This window comes from Homo sapiens, chromosome 12, assembly GCF_000001405.40.
Source record: "Homo sapiens chromosome 12, GRCh38.p14 Primary Assembly".
Taxonomy (NCBI): Eukaryota; Metazoa; Chordata; class Mammalia; order Primates; family Hominidae; genus Homo; species Homo sapiens.
Window position 1 is genome coordinate 24,700,467 of NC_000012.12, and position 23,803 is coordinate 24,724,269.

Here is a 23,803-nt window from a genome sequence, read left to right on the forward strand (position 1 = left end):
TTTATGAGAGAAATCAGTGTTTAAGATGAAGATCATTCAAAATACAGCAATGTAGATCAATCAAAATGGTTTGAGAATACATCACACCATATACAAAAATGAACTCAAAATGAATCAAAGGCCAAAATGTAAGAGCTAAAAGTACACAACTTTTAGAAGAAAGCATAGGCATAAATCTTTATGACCTTGGATTAGGCAATTGTTTCTTAGACATAAGACCAAAAACACAGGTAACAAGGGAAAAAAAAGATGAATTAGACTTCATCAAAATTAAAAACTTCTGTGCTTCAAAGTAAACCATCAAGAAAGTGAAAAAACAACCCACAGAATGGGGGAAAGTATTTATAAATCATGTATCTGATAAGAAACTGGTATCCAGAATACATAAAGTACTTACACAACTCAACAATTTAAAAAAAATTTAAAAAGGAACAAAGGATTTCAATGGACATTTCTCCAAAGAAGTTGTACAAATAACCAATAAATAAAAAGATGCTCAACATCATTATTCATTAGTGAAATGCAAATGAAAACCTCAATGAGGTTCATACCCATTAGCATGGCTATAATCAGAGAGACAGACAATGACAAGTGTTGACAAGGATGTGGAGAAACTGGAATTCTCATACATTGCTGGTGGGAATATAAAATGATGTAGCCACTTTGGAAAACAGTTTGGCAGTTTCTCAAAAAAGTTAAACATAGTTACCATATAACTCAGTAATTCCACTCCTAGGTATCTACCCAAGATAAATAAAAATATGTCCACACAGAAAGTTGTACATTAAGGTTTATAGCACCATTATTCATAATTTTAAAAGTAAAAACAGCCCAAATGTCTATCAATTGAGTGAATAAACAAAATGTGGTTTATCCCTACAATAGAATATTTTTCAGCCATAAAAAGGAATGAAGTACTGATATGTATTATAACATGGATGAACCTTGAAAACATTATGCCAAATGAAAGAAGACAGACGCAAAAGGCCACATGTCATATGATTCTATTTAACTGAGGAATCCGGACTAGACAAACCCATAGAAATAGAAAGTAGATTGGTAGTTTCCAGGGGCCAGGACGGGGAGGGGAAATGAGACATGAATACTAATGAGTTTGGTGTTTCCTTTTGGAGTGATAAAAATTGTCTGTAATTAAGAAACTATAGGTGGTGGTTACACAACTTTGTGAAAATACTAAAAACTACCTAGTTGTACACTTTAAAAATGTGAATTTTATCATATATTAATTATACCTCAATTAACAAAAAATGCTTAGAGAAACTGATGACCTTTTCTTAAATGAGAAAAATTGACAAATAACTAATTTTTTTGCAAATATCACTTGTCTTGTCAGTCAGATGTTTCTTAAGTCCTACACCGTTGTCCTCATTGCCTGTGATCTCCATCCTGTTTTTCAAGCCACTGGCATCTTACTCTTCAGCAGAAAAGGATTATGGGAGGAAGAGGTTTAGGATGAGGAAAGGATGTCTATTTCTTCTTGTTGGTAATTTAAAAAATAATGATCATAATCTATAACTTTGATGATTTTTTTTTATCATGTTGAAAGAGCTGTGTCGAAATAGCTTCTTCAGCCAGGCACAGTGGCTCACGCCTGTAATTCCAGCACTTTGGGAGGCCAAGGTGGGCAGATCAACTGAGGTCGGGAGTTCAAGACTAGCCTGGCCAACATAGCGAAACCCCGTCTCTACTAAAAATACAAAACTTTGCTGGGCATGGTGGCACGTGCCTGTAATCCCAGCTACTTGGGAGTCTGAGGCAGGAGAATTGCTTGAGCCCGGGAGGTGGAGGTTGCAGTGAGGTGAGATCGCACCACTGCACTCCAGCCTGGGTGACAGAGTGGGACTCCATCTCAAAAATAAAAAAAAAATAAATAAAAATAAACATAAGTGTTGAAGATAGTTTTTTAAGTGTAAGGAAAATAATACCATGTGGAAACAAATCTACACAAAGGAATGAAGAGGGCTATCAGTAATGAATAGGTGTTTAAATGTAAAGAAAAAAACCTTTTTGTAGTAATAGAATTGTTCCATACCTTGATTGTGGTGAAGGTTATATTAGTATAAATATTTGGGGCTGGGCGTGGTGGCTCACGCCTGTAATCCCAGCACTTTGGGAGGCCGAGGCAGGTGGATCATGAGGTCAGGAGATCGAGACCATCCTGGTAAACACTGTGGAACCCTGTCTCTATTGAAAATACAAAAACATTAGGCGGGCGTGGTGGCGGGTGCCTGTAGTCCCAGCTACTCAGGAGGCTGAGGCAGGAGAATGGCGTGAACCCCGAGGGGCGCAGCTTGCAGTGAGCAGAGATCGTGCCACTGCACTCCAGCCTGGGTGACAGAGCAAGAATCTACCTCAAAAAAAAAAAAAAAATTGGTAAAACTCACCAAACTGTCAAGTAGGTGCTTAAATGCCTGTATTCCATTGGATGTAAGTGCTTTTCAAATCCTCTAGTGTCGTTACTCCTTGGATGTGTGATTGATCATTGATATGGATTTGATATTTGTCCTGCCCAAATCTCATGCTAAAATGGAATCCCCAGTGTTGGAGGTGGGCCTGTTAGGAGGTGTTTGGGTCATAGGAGTAGATCCTTCATGGCTTGGTTCTGTCCTCACAATGCAATAGTGAGTTCTTGAGGGATCTGGTTGTTTAAAATTCTGTGGCATCTTCCCCCTTCTCTTGCTCCTGCTCTTGCCATGTAATGTACCTGCTCCTACCTTGCCTTCCACCATGAGTAAAAGCTTCCTGGAGCCTCCCGAGAAACTGAGCAGATGCCGGCACCATGGCTATGTAGCCTGCAGAACTGTGAGCCAATAAAGCCTCTTTTCTTAATTGAAATACCTAATCTCTACTGTTTCTTTATAGCAATACAAAAACGGTCTAGCACAATCTTTTAAATTTCTGTCTCTTTTAGTGTACCTTCCATGCACCAAATTCTTCTCAGGAAAATGCTGGATCAATAATGTGAATTTTATTCTCCTATATCTAGTCAAATAAGCATAACTGAAGAAAAAATTACCATGCAGATGTGAACCACTACAAATATATTTTTCCAGCTTCAACTGGTTCCTCAGTGCTGTGCATGAATTCTTGATGTGTTCTTAGCTATGGTCTCTTCACCTCACTTATTGAGTGAATGAAAGCATTTGCTTTCATTCCTCTCATTTCAAATATGAGGGCTGATATTTGTGAGATTTCTCTCACTTTCTGAAGAACATCTTGCTTTGTTACTTACTTATAAAAGGGAAAGAATCTGTCATAAATTGGCCCAAATGTCCCCCCAACATATCAACAGATCTACATTCACCCATCCTTACCTCTTCTGTCCACTCTCAGAGGATGAGGTGCTCTGCTGTTCAAGGCCTGTCCCTCCATCTGTCCCCTTGACCCTGGCTTCCCATAACTTATCTGGGATTTCACTCCATCAGTTCTCTCACCCTCTCATTTTCAGCCCACCTCATTATTGGCCCTGCATTCAGCTAATCAATACGCTCAAATTATCTCCCATCCTAAAAATAAAACCAAAAGTCTCTTTCAGTTGGCTGCCATATTCTCTCTTCCAAATTTCTGTAAATTAAAAGTAGTCTGTGTTTCTCCCCCAAACGACTCTCTTTAATCTCTGGATCTTCTGACCCACCACTTTGCTGAAAATTTGGCCATAAATAACTCCCCTTCTTACAGTCTTTTTGGATATTTCCTATCCTTAGTGAATCATTGTGCTGTGCTTGATGCTTGTTGCCCCCTCTTCCCTTCTCCCTTGGTAACTGAGGTAACAGCAGGGGAAAAGTTTGCCCAAGGAGAATGTCGATTGAAAAGAGAAGAAGCCCAAAGGTGAAAACTTAGGTGAAGTGAACATTTTAAAAAGCAGGAGCCTATGATTGAAGAACTTTAAATTTAGAGGAAATGGTCAGATGACAAGAGAAAAACCAAGAGATGATGTCGTGGAAGCTAGAGGAGAAAAGGAGAGGGATCAATGTGCCCAGCAATTTCTTCAAGGCAATAGGCTGCGCAAGAGACTGGCAGTTAGGAGCCTCGTGCTCTTGGCTCACTTCATAGCCATCTAGTTCTGTGGCCTACCAGTTCTCATCCTTTGAATTCTTAGGTTAGACGAGAAGATACATGAGATCTCTAAATCTTCAGGTTTAAACGTAGATGTCTTTCACTACACCAGAGTAAATAGCTTATTCAATATTCATTTTATGATCGTTATTGGACTTCGGCTTCCTACTGCCTTTCAAATAGGCCATCGCAAGATTTTGTCCAGTAGTAACGGTAAGCATTGCGGCATCTTTACTTATCTTCCATGCTCAAACAAACCAGCCATCTGGGCATTCTCAGCCATAGAGCCTCTTACTGTTTTGAGTCACTACCTTCTAAAGGTTGTACTGGTTTTATCCCAATCTCTACCAAAATAAATGCATGAGCCAAAGAAACTGGCTCATGTGTTATGAATAGATTTGTTCTCTGTAAATATAACTTCAAAAATACTATGAAAAAAGTATATGTATTTAGGTTCAGGAATTCCAGAACTGGGTACTTTGCTTTTTCACCCTTCATTTTTCTTTTTTCTGAAAGATTTCATCTCAGACTTATAAATGGAAACAAAACACCTTGGGAAAAGAAAGAAGTAGTATTGATTAATTTCTTCTATATATTATTCTAGCCCCCTTTAGTCAGAAAATAGCTAAGAGTACTGTTCTTTTGGCATTTGGAGTAAAACTAGTTCCTAACATTCTTTTTTGAGTGAACTTATATCTCAGACACCAAGGAACAAATGAGAAGTGTAAAAACAGCACTGCCTCTACCAACTCCCACTATTTTTCTGTCTTGAAACACTTTTTAAAAGTTCAATATAAATTACCTGACAATGGCATTTGCAGCTGTGGCAAGGTGATGGGAAGTGGATTTCTTTTGCCAAGTTTCCTTTGAGGGGTGCCGGTAGCAGTCCTTTCTAACTCTGTGGTTATACCCGGTGCAGCACAGATAGTCTCCAGGAACTGTTAATCCTTTCCTTGCAGCAAATTTACAGTGGCAGCCAAGGAAAACAGAAATCAATGTGACTTGATGGGAAGAAGGAGATGATTGCCAACTGGAAGATGGCAGTGGAAAGATAAACTTTTACAAAAGAAATAGATCTAACTTGTCAGGAAAGCATGCACCTGTATGAAAATTCATGAAGCAATGTGTAGAAATGCGATGATGAGTTGGGTGATGATAAAAGGAGAGAGAAATAGAATTGATATTGTCATGGAAGTCAGCTTTACACTAAATGGCCAGAGAGGAGATGCATAGTGTTTTCTGAATATAGCCAATAATACTGACACAGAACAGGATCCAGAAGTGATGGGGGTAGGGCCGAGGCTTTATCTACACAGCTGCTGAAAGTTTCATTCTGCTAAAAGCATGTATCTGGTAAATTCTTGACTCGCTTTACTAATAGTTTCATCTCTCAGATGTTTGAGGAAGTGATAAGGGGAACTGCAACTTAACTATGAATTTCAGGGAAGGGCTAGATGATGATGCGTCAGGGACAGGAAATTTGTGAGATATTTACCCCTATATTTTGGAGATTTGTAAGAGTGAGCAGTGGGAATTCTGGGAAGAGTCAGAAAGCCACTTCGGCCTTCAGGAAAACAGATTTCAAAGAAACCAGACAGAAATTTTTCACATTTTTTAAAAGGAATGTAGCTCAAGAGGGAAGGGCAATTCTAAAAGTGAGGAGAGAAGAGAAAGTCTAACAAAGCAGTTATAACTTCCAATATAAAAAAGAATTCTTTAAAATTTTTGAGCTTTAAAGAAACAATAGGTATTTATTTATTAGTGAACTCCCCAGTCACTGGAAACAAACTAATTCCACACAGTTGCCTCTAAATAATGGAATCAAGGGGATTTTTATATAGCATGGGAATTTGAACTATATCAAATGTATGTGTACCTTGATTCTTCTGGCAGACTGGAGAAGCCTGTGGATCTCTTCTCTTAATAATGATTTTAAATGTAGAGAATTACAAAAAAGTTACATTGAAATACAGCTATCTAAATTTTAAAAATAAATTCGTGATATAATAATGTATGCATATCCTCATTAATGCATTAAATAATAAGATCTAGTATCAGGTCTAATAACTATTGTAATTTTGAGTAGCACAGAGTGTAAATATCATTTCAAGATACCAAAAACAAATTTGATGAGATGTGAAAATATTTCAGTCACAGGTGCCATGAATACTACTGACATTTTTTACCTAAATTAATAGTTTAAGAAAACACTATGGTACAGTTAGACATTTGTATAAAGATGTAGCTGGGCATGGTGGCATGTGCCTGTAGTCCCAGTTACTTGGGAGGCTGAAGCAGGAGGAACCCTTGAGCCCAAAAGTTCTGGGCTGTAGTGAGCTATGCCAGTTGAGTGTCTGCACTAAGTTCAGCATCAGTATGGTAACCTCCTGTTAGCGGGGCCTACGGGGCTGGCAAAGGAGGGGTGAATGGACCCAGGTCGGAAGCAGAGCAGGTCATAACTCCGGTGCTGATCAGTAGTTGGATCGCCTGTGAATAGCCACTGCACTCCAGCCTGGGCAACATAGCAAGACCCTATTGTTAAAATATATATACATATTTTTTCTATCCAAGTTCATAGATACCCTGAATTCTATCCAGAAAAGCCTGAATTCTACCCAAGGAACCATGAGATTCTACTAAAGTGACTGCATATGAAATTTCACTGGATTCCCATTTCCTGTAGAGAAAAAAACAAATTTTAGAATTGCAAAATAGGTCTTCAATGTGGTGCTTGAGGAATGGAACTCTGGAACCAGTTTGCCTAGGTTCAAATCTCATTTCAGCTGCCTAGCTTTGTGATCTAGAGCAAATTACTTAAATTCTTAATGCCTCAGTTTTCATATATGTAAAATGGGAGAAATTGTAGTATTCATCTCATTGGGTTTGTCTGAAGTTTCAGTGAAATAATTATTGTGTTGTCATTAGCTATTACTAACACTGATGTAATCTTATTTATCACTTTACCCACCCTCTATCTCTAGCCTGTGCTTAGACATGCTAAGCTAACTGCAATTGCACAAACACACCGACATTGTTTCACCCCTCCATGCCCTCACTCATGTTACTCCTTCTGCCTGAAGAATTGGTGGTAAATCTTTTGCAACACCTTCCCTTCCTTGCATCTACCCCTGTACCTTAAAATCCATCAATCCAATCTGGCAACACTTCTATGAAGTCATTTTACCTCATTCAGAGCAAACTGACCAATTTCTTCTTTGGGTTTTATCATGCTTCTTCTGACCAGCAAATTTTGATCTGTATTAACCCTGGCAGATAACAGATTAACAGATAGGTCTAGCACCCGGGAGAGCAGTCAGGGCTGGACATATAAATTTGGGAGTTATTAGCATGTTAACTTATAGGTGGTAAAGACTTGGGACTGAATGTGATATTCTAGCAATAATGCAGGAAAGGAAGAAAAGAGAGTTAAGTGCCTGGCACATAAGGCACCATACATGTCTGTATGTTGATCATAGCCAATGCTGTCTTTATGTACTTTTGTTACTTTTTCTTCTCAACGAGCATACACTGCTCAAGGATAAGAACCAGGATTTGATGATGAAGACCTTATGACAAAGCTAAAGCCAGGTGTGCAGTGCAGTTCTCACAAATGGATGGATAGGTGGACAGGTGGATGAATGAGTGGATGAATTGATGAGTGCATAGTATAATAGTAGAGGGTTTTCAGCATTCATATCAAGACAGAGGTCAAACTAGCTATGCTGACAGAAAACCAAACAAAAATGATTTAATCTCTCAAATGATTCACATGTAACTGGAATCTTGGCCCTGCTTTTCTCATGAATTGCCCTTCAGGTATATGCCTTCTTGTTGGAACTATTTCTAACTTACTGGGTTGCTGTGGAAATCAAATGAGAGAATGTATAATATAATGCTTTATGAAATGTAAAGAGCTATACATATGTAAATAATTAAACTATGTAATTTGAAAGATGCTCTCTCAAAATATCTCCTACCATATTGCCTTTCCTGGCACAATCTGCCCCACAGTGCCTATCTGGTCAGAGTTACACAGCCCTTCTCTAGATCAGAGAACATCCACAGTTCATTGTCTTTCTAATGTCACTGAGCAGTGGTTACTCATAAAAGAAGGGATAGGGATGACTTTATCCTTTTCCCAGACACAGAGATAAGTTTATTAGTCTAGCTTTGAAATCAGACTCCCTGGGTTCAAATCTTGAATTTGGTTCAAACTCTGAGCAAGCGACTCTATCTGTCTATGCCTCTGTCTAGTCCTACTTCCACAATTCTCATTTCTCTCTGTTCAAGCTTCACTTTCCTTGGCTTCCATGTCATTCCATCGTCACTCTCTGCTGTTATCTTGTTCAACCTGTCAACATCAACTAACATGAGAGATCACTTTCCTTCACTGTCATCTCTTGGCATCTGGTGACTCCACTCTCTCCTGGTTTTCTACCTACTTTACTGGCCTCTCCCTTTTAAACTCCTCTGCCAGATCCTCTCTCTCTACCTAACTTTTAAGTCTTGAAGTGACTTAGAACTCAGGCCTGAACTCTTTTCTTCCTTTTCTGCATTATTGCTAGGATATCACATTCAGTCCCAAGTCTTTACCTGAAAGTTAAAATGCTAATAACTCCCAAATTTATATGTCCAGCCCTGACTGCTCTGCCAGGTGCTAGACCCATCTGTCCAACTTGGCATCTTTATTGAATGCCTAAAATCCATGTCAAACAAAACTGGATTTTCCTCAACCCATCCCCACCAAAAAGAACACACAAAAAACCCCACTCTTCCCCCACTCATTCCCCTCTCAATTATGACACACTTTAACTGCTCAAGCTGAAAACTATGAGTCATCCTTCATTTTCTTCCCATCATCTTCACCCACATTTATCTTAATGCCTAACAGCTCCACCTCCAAAACTTCTCCTGCCTCTGTCCTGAATATGCAATCATTTTCATGTCTACCACCAGAGTCTAAACCACCCTGATCTTTCTCCTGAACTATTCAATAGTCCTGTAACTTATCTCTCTGTTTATAATCTCAGATGCCTACACGTCATTTTCCGTAGTGATCTTTTAAAATTATAAATCAGACCACACCACTCTCCTGTTCTGATCCTCAGAATACAATCTAATTCCTTCCATAGCCTACAAAGCCTTGTAAGTACCGGCACTAATCTATGATCTTATCCCTAATCTAATATTCTCTCATTTGCTAACTATGGTCCGGCCAGACTAGGTTTCTTCCTGTTTCTCTTAATTTATTTACAATTCCAGGATCTCTGTGCTTATGCTTTTTTTAAGAGTGTTCTTCTCTTAGATAAAAGTACATCTGACTTTGTCCTATCACTTAGGTCTGGCACAGCCTCAAAGAGTTCTTTCCTGATTACTCTATGTAATGTCAATCTTTATTGCACCATCCCATTTTATTTTCTTTATGCCACTCATTACTATCTGAAATTATCTTTACCTTCTTGTTTGCTATCTGCTTTCATGGCTAGATTTTAACTCAATCAGACCTGAGTCTTCTTTTTTTTTTTTGAGATGGAGTCTTGCTCTATCACCCAGGCTGGAGTGCAGTGACACAATCTCAGCTCACTGTAACCTCCACCTCCCAGGTTCAAGCAATTTTCCTGCCTCAACCTCTCGAGTAGCTGGGACTACAGGCATGTGCCACCACTCCCAGCTAATTTTTGTATTTTTAGTAGAGATGGGGTGGTCAGGCTGGTCTTGAACTCCTGGCCTTGTGATCTGCCTGCCTTAACCTTCCGAAGTGCTGGGATTACAGGCATGAGCCACCACACCCGGCCCAGACCTGTATCTTATTCAAAACTGTATTCCCAAGACCTAGAATAGTACCTCACATGTAGTAAATGCTAAGGGCATGTTTGTTGAATGACTGAATGACTGATTGAGTGGATGAATGAATGGCTGAATTTTGTTATGGTATAGGAGTTTTTGTAAGGGTAAAATTAGATGTACGTAAATTCCTTAGCATACTGTCTAGCTCATAGTAAGTATTCAAAAATAATAGGAACTAAATAAATTTTAGCTCTTATTTTTATAATTAGATTTTTTCCCTTAATCTCCCATAGCTTTCTAAATAAACAAAAATTAATTATTAATTGAATTATTCACTTGTGGCTTCAAGAAAGATTTGACTTCGCTCATAGAGAGGTACTTTGATGGTGGAAAATCCGTAGAGGAGAACAGAGACCCATGGAAGGAGAAGCATCTACCTTTGATGTCATCAAACCCAGTGTTTCACTCTCTGGGAGCTTGCTTTTAAACTGGTCTTTGCAGTATGGCTTGCAACTGGCATGGCCATTATACTATTGAGCACACAGTGGTGGGCCTTGTGACTTTGTTCCCACACATTTCACAACAATCTTTGAAAATAGCATGGAGCGATGTTGAAGCTGGTGGCCACCAGCCATAAGAGTCCCATTCAAGTTAAAATATCTGAGAGGTGTGAGAAGGGAAGATATTTTTCTTATTAATTGCCCTGAAGTAGGCCACAGGGAGCCGTGAAGGGGAGGGTTGGGTGTAGTACAGTATGAAGGAAAGAAAAGTTTATTCAAGGCATCCATGGAGCCTATATTTGTCACAGAAATAACTAACATGTGTTTTATAATTGCTCTGTCAAAACTCAGGACATATTAAAGTCCCAGTAACAACATAACTAAAAGTATGGGGAATTAAATCCCGCCCACTGAAAGCTTCTACAGATGCATGCTGCCCACATAGAGAACTGTGCACAAGACTGAATTAGACTGCCTGCAGCTTCAGCAGACTTGGTGTTAAAATGCTGGGAGCTTTAGGTGAGATGCTATCTGAACCCTGTAAGTTTGAAAATATTGCACTAACACAGTGTCCCAAAAAGTCACTGTTTTACTAATACAATGGAAATCTTGCTCCAAAGCTACCACTGAGTGGGCTGGAAAAGGAAAACTGTGTAGTGAAAAGATCACAGTCTTTCGACATATAGACCGATGAGAGTTCAGAACCCAGCTCTGCTGAGTGGCTTTCGAAAAGGTGCTGAACTAACACAGTGCCTGCCATCTAATAGGGGCCCAATAAGTGTCTGGTGAATGAAAAAACTAATTTTTAACTTCAGAGAACCTATCTGTAAAATGAGGATAAAAATTACATCTACGCTACCTGACTGTAATGAGCATTAAAGATAAGCTGTCTGGCCCCAAAAGTACATGCCAGTAAATTGTAACTTTCTAATTTGCCTTTACCCTCCTAGCAACTGTCTCCTTGTAATACATCCTTCCACCACTACGTCCTTTGGGATAGCCAGGCCAGCAGCATTGCCTCACTGTTTGGATTATTTCATCTTTTCTTGAGGAAATTTAGGATAGAAGAGCACATATAGCAGATTTGAACCCTTATGCTTCAGGCTTTATTGGAGACTGCCTGATCTGATTGGTATATTTTTCAGTGTTTCCTGTGTTCATATGTAAACTGACTATATCCAGGTATCTAAGAAATTAATTATTGGCCAGGCACCGTGGCTCACGCCTGTAATCCCAGCACCTTGGGAGGCCGAGGTGGGTGGATCACTTGAGGTCAGGAGTTTGAGACCAGCCAGGTCAACATGGTGAAACCCAGTTTCTACTAAAAATACAAAAATTAGCTCGGCATGGTGGCAGGCACCTGTAGTCTCAGCTACTCAGGAGGCTGAGGCAAAAGAATTGCTTGAACCTGGGAGGTGAAGGTTGCAGTGAGCTGAGGTCATGCCCCTGCACTAGCCTGGGCAACAGAGTGAGGCTCCATCTCAAAAAAAAAAAAAAAAAAAAGAAAGAAAAGAAAGAAATTAATTATTAATTAATATACCTGATATACAATAAGTCAATGCTATGTGTCTCTTTATAGTTCACAAATTTCTCCAAAATACTATTTCACTTGATGTTGCTCTTGGATCTTCAGAAGGTAAGAAATAACTCTGGGGTAAAGGGAACTTTAGAGAACCAAGACATCTGGGTGGGAATTCACATGTGATGTGATCTGACTGTACTATCTGTCACCCTTTGGAGCCTCAGGGTCAATTCAGTGAATCTGGCCAGTCAAGAGGATGCTCTTTCTCTCTCCAACTCCATCTTTCCAAAAGCTGGGAGCTTAGGCAGAGAAAAGGTCAGAAGTTCAGTTCAATTTAAGGCAGGGAACTTATAAAAAACCTACTGTGGACCAAGATCTGCAGATACAGGGGTACAAAAGATGAGGCCCCAGCCTCCAAGAACCTCACTTCTCAGTGGGTGGAATAGAGACATGAGCAGTTCCTTTCACTGTAATGCTGTAAATGTTAGGACATAGGGGTTTATTCTCAAGGAGAATCGCTTGAACCTGGGAGTCCTTTGGGAGCCTGGAGAACAGCTTGAACCTGGGAGTCCTTTGGGGGCCTGGAGAAGAACATTCAGCCCAGCCCTAGCAGAGAAGAGACACCAGGGAGGGGAGCTCAAACAAAATTTAGTTTGAGGAGTCCACTGATGGAAAGACACATTCCTTCTTGGCATGGCTCAGGAGTAGGAGCAGCTTACATGGGCAGGGAATGTGTACGTTGTGTGGATACAGAGAGGGAAAGCCAGGTATGGGTGTTCCAGGCTTTGGAGAGGAGTGCTCTGTGTGTCTCTCTCTTTGCCTCCCACTGACTCTCTCACTCTTAGCTCCTAACTCGTCTCCAGACTCCAATCTCACCTCACCTCAAACCAGCACAGACACTGCCTCATTACTGCACAATCTTTGAAAGTGACATTTGGCTGTGTTGCTTGCCTACTGAGACTATCTCAGTGGCTATCTATTGTCCACAGAATGAAGTTTGCACCCAACCACCACTGTCTGTGACCTGGCCCTCGTCTTCTCTTCCAGCTTCACCTCCAGCCTCTTGTCCTTTTACCATATGGTCCAGTCTTTGCAACATGGAACCAGCCTCTCACTGCTTGGCCTTTGTACGAGCTGTCCCACCCACTCTCATGTGCTCTCTTCCATCTCTACCTGCACCCTATTGAAGACTGAGCAGAGGCCATGCCTCTTGGAGGAAGCCTTTGATGACAGTGCTCCCCAGCCTTGTCTCCAACACCCGCTCTGTCTCAGTTTTCCATCTGGTTTAGACGCTCTGTCTTCTCTGTGCCCACGTATTGATTACATATTTTAGTCCTCCTTTTTTTTTTCTAGTGCCTCCATCAAGGATGTATGATTCCTGAGTAGCAGGGTTTTTTGCCTTTGCTGTATTCATAACACCGGGGGTACTCCAGTGACCAGTGGGGCTGTACATCCTTGGCTTGTCCCCCACATCCACTTTTCACCCCTCTCCTAGCTCTGTATCTTGGGAGCCCGGACTGCAAGCTCCCTTCTAGTTAGCTTCTGGTTGTGTAGGTCTTTGGGAGGCCCCGGCTGGGCACTGAGAGGTAAGAAGACAATAAGGTCTGGAAATGAGCCAAGTAGCTGGGAATTGGCTGTGTCCCTTTCTTTTTTTTTTTTTGTTTTTGTTTTTTGTTTTTTTGTTTTTTTAGACAGAGTTTCGCTCTTGTTGCCCAGGCTGGAGTGCAATGGCATGATCTCGACTCACTGCAACCTCCGCCTCCTGGGTTCAAACGATTCTCCTGCCTCAGCCTCCCAAGTAGCTGGGACTACAGGCGTGCACCACCACACCTGTCTAATTTTTGTATTTTTAGTAGAGACGAGGTTTCACCATCTTGGCCAGGCTCGTCTCAAACTCCTGACCTCGTGATCCACCCGCCTCGGCCTCCGAAAGTGCTGAGATTACAGGCGTGAGCCACCGTACCCGGCCGGCTGTGTCCCTTTCTTTAAGGCCGTGGCTCCTCTCAGGAGGCCTGCTCCATAGAGCATTCCTTTCTGGGTTGCAGGAACTCTTCTGACTGTTATCCCTTCAGGCCTAGGGGTGGCAGTGGCTCCCCGCTGTTACTAAGACCCACAGTTGTGCACTACACCTTGTTCATTTCCTTACTCCAGTCCATGCAAATGCTTGCCAATAGCCCGTTTATTAAACTCCATGCAAATCACTTCATTGAAACGTACCATTTGTTTTTTGATATACAAGCACACAGAAGTAATGTAATAAGAAGGAAGGAAAGAAGGAAGGAAGGAAGGGCGGATGGAAGGAAAGAAGGGAGGGAATGGAAAGGAAAGGAAAGGAAAAGAAAGGAAAGGAAAGGAGAGAAAAGAATAATATCTCTAAGTAAGGTATTTCCTGAGCTAGACTCGCTACACATTTTGATTCTTGTCATTATTAACTGTGTGTAACTGGAACTTTCATTATTCTTTTTCCCCCCATGATACAGTTTTTATTTTTACTGCGGTAAAATTTATAAACCGTGAGATGCACAGATATTAAGTATTCAGTTCAATGAGTTTTGACAAATGTATTTTCTTGTATAACCAACAGCCCAGCCAACATATAAAATATTTCTATCACCCAGAAATTGCCCTCTTTGAAAAACACTCTGACCCTCACAGGGGATCTGATCTGTGTCACCATAGATTAGTTGGCCTATTCTTGAATTTCATACAAATGGAATCGGTGCTCTCTTGTGCGAAGCTTCTATACAGCTGTTAAAAACAGTGTTGTTAATAGCGTAAAACATACCTGGAGAAACAGCGTCAGTCCTGCCAAGGCTCTCCACAGCAAAGATCCAGGCTGAGAAGCCCAGAGGCCGAAGAGACTCAGTAGGGTTCAATTGGGAAAGCAGAGGCACGTGATTCATTGCTAGCAAGGAAGAGTCTGTGGAGGCATGGGGGTGGGGTTGAGGCAGCAGGTTGCAGGTTGCACCAGAAGCCTTGACAAGGCCAGGCCTTCAGCAAGAGCACTGGGTTGACTTGAACTTTTACTATTCTTTATCATCGCTGACAGTGTGATTTGTCAAAAACTTCCCTGAGAGGATGTTGCAAGCCGTGACTTCCTAGAATGAGGGCCAGGGTCTCCTCTGGAAGGTCATAACCTTAGGAAAGAATTTCACACCCTCTGGCCTGAGAGCAAATATAATTCTTGTGCCACAACGGAGCAGTTCCAATGGAAAGAAGTGCCCGCAAGGGGACTTCTGAGGAAAGGTACAGAGCTGGACCTGAAGGGTGAAGGAGAAAAGAAGGTTCATGTGATAGAAGAAAGGATCCGTGGTGCTGAAAGACTCCAGTGCTAACTGAAGCTGCTAGAGAATTAACCGCAGACCAAAATAAATTAATGTAAAATGGTCACCATTGCCTCCACTCAAGTTTTCTGAGGGTGAATGTTTTTCATATGGCCAAATATGAAGAATTTGATTTGCAACTCCCAAATCTCTAAAGCTATGAAAGCCCAGAGTCCCCCAGCTCAGATGCAGGTGGGTCTCCCTCTCAGGTGACTGTCCTGGAGATTGTTACAGGGTCTCAGGCTTCAGGCAACAGGAGAAAGCTGTGGTAAGCCTCCTCATTCCCTTTACCACCAAGGCTGCAGCAACTACTTCAACACCATTTTCTTCCATTTCCAATGACTACTGTTAACGAGTTTGCAACTCAACATATCATTCCAACACCCCCCTCCCAAAAAAATCTTATTCATGATTTTGACACATAAGAAGGCAATTGATACTGTGAAATGTCAGAGCAAATTGGCACATTTTGTTCACCACAACTTAATGATTTCTTATTATTTACTTCAAATCGCCATTCCCACATTTATTACAAAGGTGAATTTTTAACAGAAACCTGTGATTTTTCCAGACTACGTGCCCTTTGAACGCTAAGCCCCTCAGCTCGAACATGCCTGAAATACATGCACAAACAATATAAAAAGGCCCATAGCCCAGGATCCAAGTGGCATTTGGAATTCCAGCCCACTGAGAAATGTTTCCACCTACTTCCCATGACTAGAAAGCAGCTGAAGGAAAGTCACTCTGAACAGTAATTGCATGTTTTGTAAAAGCTATCAAAAGTTACACACAGATGCATTTTACAAAGACCTGGAGGGGTGTTCACACTTCTTGGCAGGTGTGTGAGCCTGTGGCTCTAACAAACCTGGCCCTAGAGCCACAAAGGTGGCTCAGGTGATCTTGAACACATCTCTATTAGATGATTTTAAACATTGCCTCCACATCTGTATGGCTTGGCAGCAAGCTGCAAATGTGTTTCTGTCACTGGAGCCCTTCAAGGGCTGCTATCTTCCCGTAAGCCATAATGAATCCCACAGTCAAACACTGCATGGTGTGCAAACTTCTGAACACCTGCACTCTCCAAATCCTGCCTTTGACTTATGCGATAGCGTTTGTCACTTCATTGGCACTGCATTATAGAAACTAAGTGTAATTGCGACCTAGAAAGGTTCAACAGTGAAACCAAAAAAAGAATAAAAGTAAAGGAACCTCGGCTTAATATGGAGCATCAAGAACCGCCTCAGTCTCGGAGTGTTCGGAGGACTCCAGTTAACAGTGGAGGAAAACCAGGCTTGCGTTTGAATATTACTTTAGCTGGAAAACACTATTTCATTACATTAATGTCTGCACTAATTATTATAATAATCCTGAGTTTACACCAGTAACAAATCAATTGTAATGAGCTGAACAAAAGAATCTAGGTGGAATTCTTCCCTATAAATATGCTCCTGTCAGTGCAGTCAAAACACAGTGCCAGAACACTGCCTGTGTCAGTGAATAACACATTTTAAAACTGGTATGTCCTTTTAATCTCTTAATTGGTTGTGTATGTGGGAAATCCTATGAAAAGCGAAGTCTCTGTCCACCTGGATTTTTGAAGGATAGCTATACTTACAGCTGTCACAAGTTGTCAGTATTTTGTAAAGTGTCTGAGTCTGATTAGGTATAGAGGTGCGGAATTTGAGTGTCACAGAAGGGGCCTGAATTTGAATCTTGGAATGTAAACAAATTAGGATTTTGTAGTGCCTAATATAGTGTGCTCATACAGTTTCTTTGAATAAATGTGGTTGGTTGCCTTAAAAGTTAATCAATCCCCACTTCTAAAATAGTTTTACAACTGATATGGTTGAGCACAAAGAAATAATTTTTTATTCTAAAACAGCTCTGCAAAGTTGGATAGGGTTGACTTTAAAAGTTGCTCATGTGAACGATTCAGTCGTTTAGGCTCCTTTCACAGACATTACCCTATTGTATCCTCCTAACCCAGGAAGTAGATAGGAGAGGTTTAAAAGGTTCTGAAAGGTTAAATGAGTTCCTGAAGGTCACAATGCTAATTAACAGTTGAGCAATTTCTAGAACCCAGATCTCTGTGCACCTTGTTTATGACAACACATTTTCTCTGAACAGGTTATTTTTTGGTTAGATCATTGATGGTACTATATGGTGAGTGCTGAGGGAAACCTAGGAAGAATGATTCCACATTTAGGTTGTTGGCATGAGTTGCTATCTATGTAAACACGTCTTTAGAGTCTCTCAGAAATGAATGGAATTGCTTTTGTTCAGCTAACAGAAAATAACTAGTGGGCAATGTCATAGAAGAGGGAGAAATATCACTTAAGTTTGGGGACCACTTAATATAAGCATCTAACTGTGTGTGTGTGCATAGATGCTTGTGCATGCGTGCGTGTGTGTGTGTACATATGAGTAAGAAAGTGAAGGAGAAGCCCTGCGCGGTGGCTCATGCCTGTAATCCCAACACTTTGGGAGGCCGAGATGGGCGGATCCCAGGAGTTCAGCCTGGGCAACATAGTGAAACCCTATCTTTACAAAACATACAAAAAAAAAAAAAATAGCCAGGTGTGGTGGTGCGTGCCTGTAGTTCCAGCTACTCAGGAGGCTGAGGTGGGAGGATTGCTTGGGCTCAGGAGGTTGAGGCTGCCGTGAGCCATGATCTTGCCACTGCACTCCAGCCTGGGCAACAGAGTGAGACTCTGTCTCAAAAAAAAAAAAGAAAAAGAAAAAAAAGAAAGTGAAGGAGAGAGAGTCTGAAGAAATTGCATAATAACACATTACAGCCCATAATATGATGTAGTGCTGTATGTTCCACAATACATTATGAAGCATCCAGACGCCATAGGTCAATCAAAGTCAGGATGGCTGAAATGTGTGTTAAAGTGTAGGAGATTAAAATATTATGCCTAACACTGTATAATGCATCATGGAAAAATCCTTGTAAGTATAAATTAGCTTTACTGTTGAGTATGAAATCTTCCTTTTGGTTATTTATGAAGCTTCATTTTGAAGATTGCCTTCACTGACTAACAAGCAAATCAGAACTTGTCATGTGCAAATCTTGTGAAGATTGCAAGGCCAGTATATAATTAGCCTCAAAAGAGTGTGACCAAATTGGGTAAAAAATAAAAACACTATGAAAAGGGAATAAGAAAACCAAAAGGAGGTCAGGGTGTGGTCAAACCATGGGAACCCTTTAACTTTACGTTTTCCTGACATGGTGATGTTCAAAGTCTGTAGAAAAAGTGAAATTATGAAACAGATATTCCTATTCTGCTATTCAAAGAGCTGCTATTGTTCATAGATCAAAGAATCTGGTGATGAAGAGAAGTTTATACAGCTCTGAGTGTGAAAAATATTCAAACTCGGAACAACAAAAAGAAAGTTGGCAGGAGGAGAAAACAGGGATGAGGAGGAGGAAGGGCTAGAACAGTGACTTGCTCCATCCCAAGTGCTCAATAAATATTTGCGGAAGAAATGAGGAAGGCTATGGAGAGCTCTTTTTCCTTCAGGCTGTATCATCAAATACACCCTTCCTCAGTGACCTCTCTTCCCCCGCCCTAGCCCAATTTTCTTTCTACTCTAAAAATCAGAAGCAAGATTCCAATCCTATATTTTACCCTCTTGCTAATCATGTATGTAATGCCCTGAAGTCATTTTCGAATTTCCTGTAAGGCACACACCACCCTTTCTCACCACAGAGAGTCTTGCTTGTGAGGTCAGATGGTTCTCACAGATGACATGAAGGAAAAAATTCCCAACTAATTGTCATTGCTTAAACCCTCTTCCCTCACAGTCTCCAGAGATGGGACTCTGGGTTTCACAGGGACCATTACATCAGAAGGGTCTGTCAAGGCTTTAGTTAATGAACCCAGTTGAGATCATCCCCTGCAGGGTGGGGTGCATGCAGACCCTGGGTGTGAAGGCTTCAAGGGGGAAAACCCAGGAAGTGGTCAGATGACTCAGTGGTGGTGCTTTGTTGAGTCAGACCTAGGCACTGGCACTATGATGTTCCAATGTGCAATGGGAGACCCCAGCTCTCAAAAGAATTTCTTCATGCTCATTGTCCACAAGGTCCTCATTAGATCCCAGGACCTCTTCCTTCTTGTTTTTGTCTTTTCATCATTTAACTGTGGAGTTTGTGCCTTTAGAGTCACTGTTACATCCCAGCCAAGGTGTCTATAGAAGTGAGCTGCTGTATGGAGGTGAAGTAATCCTCATACTACATATAAATGTGTAATTAGTTCAACAAATATTTATTGAGCACCTAGACTGTGTCAGGAGTTCCGTTGCTTATTAATTTGTATTGAGGTAATTTGTAACTCATATTCTCCTGAAAATATTTTCATTTATCATATGCCCTCTTTAATTAAGTTGTTGTCTGCTCTCTGAGAAACACCATTAAACAAGTATCTTCATCTTGTCACTTGAGCCAAGTTAGTTTTAGTGTAACTCATACAGAGGAGAAGAGAGGCAACAGAGAAGAGCAAGTCCTTACTCATACAGCATATTGAGTATCTCCCAGAACTGTAGAGGCAATAAGGAAAAAACTGATACGGGAGGGGTGGTGAGAATCAAATATCTGTGATATATCCATTCATCCAGATTATAAATTGCTACAATAAAGAGAGCAAATTTCCCCCAAGTCTATATTGCTTCTCAGTATTAATATAGACCTCTTTGTGGTCTTTGTGTCCAGTAAATCTCTCTTGACATTAAAGTGCTTTTTAAAAATTTCTGCTTTAGTAAAAGTATTGTCTCAATGACAAAATACTAGCCCAGAAACCAGGTCTAAATTCAATGAATTCCAGTAACTGTCCCTAAAAACAAATATTCTGGGAGTGATTTCTCAAACTGTGTGGACAGAATAATGGCCCCCAGAGATGTCTACATCCACATCTCCAGAACCTGTGAAAATCTTACTTTATGTAGCTAAAGAGACTCTGCAGATGGAATTAAGCTAAATGTTTTGAGATGGGGAGAATACTCTGGATTATCGAGGTGGGCCCAGTGTCATCACAAGGGTCCTTATTATAAGAGGGAGGCAAGATCTCTTGTCCCATCTCCCTATCAAACATCAGAAAGGAGATGGGATAAAAGAATCTGAGGTTGGAACCATGTGCTTTGAAGATAGAGGAGGGGGCCATGAGCCAAGACAAGCAGGAAGCCTCTAAAAGCTGGAAAAGTCAAGGAAATAGATTTTCCCTTGGAGCCTCCACAAGGAATAAACCCTGCTGATGGCTTTGTTTTAGCTTCATAAAACTCATTTCAGACTTCTGACCTTCAGAATTGTAGATAATAAATGTATAATGTTTTAAGTCACTAAATTGTGATAATTTGCTATGGCAGCCATAGGACATGTGTATTTGTATGTGGCATAGAAATAACTCAAGCTGAATAATTGATGTCTTCTGATTTCATTCCTTCACCAAATATTTATATATTAACTACCCTGTAGTTGCTAACATTCTGGAAACTGGGGACATGAGAGTAAGCAAAATAAACATGGTTTCTGTTCAGTTTAGGAGGAGGCAGGACTTTGTTCATTATACATATGAGGAAATTTATGAATTTATCTAATGTGAAAATTAAACCAGCTGTTTATATAGGAAAACAAAACAACTGGTTAACTTTTTTTTTTTTTTTGCTTCCAATAAGTTAGGTTGGTGTCCCACTGTGACTCACTGTATTTTTATGTCATAATTGACTAGTATTACAACCATAACTGTGGTCATTTGCTAGTCAAGTTCCAACTCTGCCCCTGCTTTCTTTAAAGCCTAGTGTCACAGAGATAAATTGAGAATATTCAAGGACTTGTGATTTTTTAAATTGAATTCTCATGACCCTATGTCCAAAAAAGATGGGTATGCAAAAAATGCCTCAACAGCTAATGATGAACCAAGTACAAATACATCTTAAGCAGTCAAGGTTTTATTACAAAGAAGTTTGAGAAAAACGCTCCTTAAATATGGTCCAAAAGGGAAGAATACTCATTCTCTTTTCATATGAAGAAAAAAATATCATAATGGTTAGAAAGACTTCCTTTGCCCAATAAAGCTCATGAAGTTTAAGCTCCAGGGTCCTTCCTTCACATAGTTTCTTTCTATCCAAAAATCTGAGAGTGGGTAAAGAAATATGTGCCATGAGGGTTTTTTTTAAATAAGATATTAAGTATATATATTTTGGTTTAGAAAGCTATCTTGGCAGGGCATGGTAGCTCACACCTGTAATCCCAACATTTTGGGAGACCAAGGCAGGAGGATTGCTGGAGTCTGGGAGTTTGAGACCAGCCTGAGCAATATGGCAAAATCCCGCCTCTACCAAAAAAATAAATAAATAAATACAAAAATACAAAAATACAAAAACTAGCTGGGCGTGATGGTGAATGCCTGTAGTCCCAGCTACTTGGGAGGCTGAAATTGTAGAATTGCTTGAGCATGGAGTTGCAGTGAGCAGAGATTGTGCCACTGCACTCCAGCCCAGGCAATGGAGTCACATCTTGTCAAAAAAAAAAAAAAAAAAGAAAAGAAAGAAAAGAAAGAAAAAAAGAAAGTTATCCCTCTTTACTCCAACTTTCTGTTCCACTTTTCCCCATTCCAATGATGTTGGTGTGGCCATGGTTGTTTCTTGAATCTTCCAAGGGGAGGTTGGGTGGAGGTGCACATTTTTTTGGTTCAGTGGGACATGTTGATGTGGTTTGAAGCAATATTCATGTGTAGTTGGCACATTGCTAGCCATTTTAGTGTAGTGTTGAGTTTTATTTCCTGCCCACTGTGCCGACTCTCCTGGTGTTGTGCCATGAGGTACAGGTCAGAGGTTCTATTGTGATAGGAACAGGTGCCATGACACCCAGCACTGAAAGCGTGTGGGTAAGAGAGAGCAGCCCAGGTTTGAAATTGATGGAATCACAAGTTAGTCTGAGAATAAATCTTCTGTAACATGTAAATGTATAAGTAAAGAATTGAGTTTTTCTTAATTCTTAGTCATAATAGAAGTTCTATTCTGTCAGGAATATCCTTGATGTGGTTTGGCTGTGTCCCCATCCAAATCCCATCTTGAATTCCCATGTGTTGTAGGAGGAACCCAGTGGGAGGTAATTGAATCATGGGGGCAGGTCTTTTCTGTGCCGTTCTTATGATAGTGAATACGTTTCACAAGATCTGATGGCTTTACAAGGTGGAGTTTCCCTGCACAAGTTCTCTCTCTCTTTGCCTGCTGCCTTCCATGTAATACGTGACTTGCCCCTCCTTGTCTTCCACCATGATTGTGAGGCCTCCCCAGCCATGTGGAACTGTAAGTCCATTAAACCTCTTTTTCTTCCCAGTCTCAGGTATGCCTTTATCAGCAGCATGAAAACAGACTAATACAATACTTGATAATGTTGTATATACAACTACAAATACACTACACATTTTTTTTTTTTGAATATAAAGTTTGTGAAATAGAAATTGTCAGAATTCTGGTGTTGATATGGCAAAAACCTGTAGTAACGCTGCCCAAAGCAAGCGTGTCTGTGTATAAAGTTGCCAATGTTTTGTACATCTCAACTAGCAATTAAATAAAAATCTATCAACCATCCTAAGGAAAGGGCTGACTTTTTTATTGTTATAGAAAAAAGCATTGAAAATTAAATAGGAAAAAAAACTGAGGAAAAAAGTATTAACAAGGTTATACTCATTAAAAAATATGATTCCTATAGATTTCAGGATGTTTGTGTACTTGTTAGCTTTCTGACATTTGTCACTTGATATGATTTCATGTCTCATTCTAAATAAATAAATACATCTAATTTTGTATTTATAACTATATATTTCTTAAAGTTATTCCTCCCAAATGCTTCAGTTTGGGGTCCTGGAGCCACCTCTGCCAATATGTAGAAAAGGAGTTGAGGCACCCGATCAGGGAAAGCTTGCAACAGGTTCTGCTTCATCCTCAAGAAACCAGGGCTCTGAAATCTGATGCACAGGGCTTGTGCAAGCAATGCTCCCAAATGAAGCTCTTTCTTCCACTTGGCATCTGAACTTGATCAAAGACAATGGAATGGAATACTGGATTGACTATCAGGACGAAAACATTTTTTCACTTTGGAACTTAGAATGAGTACCTGGAATCCTTCTGTACCTCAGTTTCCTTATCCATATGTCATGCTTAAGGCATAAGCTCTAGAGCCAGACTGCCTGGGTTCATATCTTGGTTTTGCCACTTACTATGTGACCCAGGGGCAAGCCACTTAGCCTTGCTAAACTTCAGTTTGCTTGTCTGTGAGTGTAATAAGGAAATAGTACTTCTTACTTCATAGGTTTGTTGAGGGATTAAGTTACATAATGAATGTAAGGTGCTCAGCATAATGCCAGGCAAATAGTAAGTGTTCAGTAAGTGATAGCTATTATTTTTCTATGGAACAAAGAACCCAAACAAACCCCAAACCATACCTGACACTCATCTTTCTTAGAGCAATGGGGTGAGGAAAAAATAGCTAAGTAGAATCAGAAAGAAAAAAAAAAAAGAAAGAAAAGACAGGAATTAAAATGTGCCACGTTCATAAGTGTGGGGGATAATACAATCTGAAAACCCTCATCTGT

The 23,803-nt window shown here is 40.4% G+C and overlaps 1 protein-coding gene, 1 long non-coding RNA gene and 1 pseudogene across 3 annotated transcripts in view, besides 1 other annotated feature; 2 read left to right on the plus strand and 1 right to left on the minus strand.

Moving 5' to 3' along the window:
* LOC105369698 (uncharacterized) overlaps window positions 1-5,205 on the minus strand; it is a 90,315-nt gene extending 85,110 nt beyond the window's left edge. Inside the window, exon 1 of the long non-coding RNA XR_001749046.2 lies at window positions 4,880-5,205. This is a non-coding gene — a long non-coding RNA (uncharacterized LOC105369698). The remainder of the gene's footprint in view (window positions 1-4,879) is intronic.
* The window catches only part of LOC124902897 (uncharacterized), a 71,084-nt gene continuing 51,283 nt past the window's right edge, over window positions 4,003-23,803 (plus strand). For both annotated transcript variants that reach the window (XR_007063242.1, XM_047429950.1), the window contains exon 1: window positions 4,003-4,290. Coding sequence is in view for 1 of the 2 variants with exons in the window: in XM_047429950.1 (XP_047285906.1) it covers window positions 4,218-4,290 (73 nt within the window). In the remaining variant the exon portion in view is untranslated. The remainder of the gene's footprint in view (window positions 4,291-23,803) is intronic.
* On the plus strand, window positions 6,322-6,610 carry RN7SL38P (RNA, 7SL, cytoplasmic 38, pseudogene; annotated as a pseudogene).
* Window positions 19,238-19,297: an enhancer, noted in NCBI's record as "active region_6101". NCBI's record gives its function as "activates an Ori minimal core promoter by ATAC-STARR-seq in GM12878 lymphoblastoid cells {active_cell/tissue: GM12878}" and the evidence as "EXISTENCE:reporter gene assay evidence [ECO:0000049][PMID:35858748]".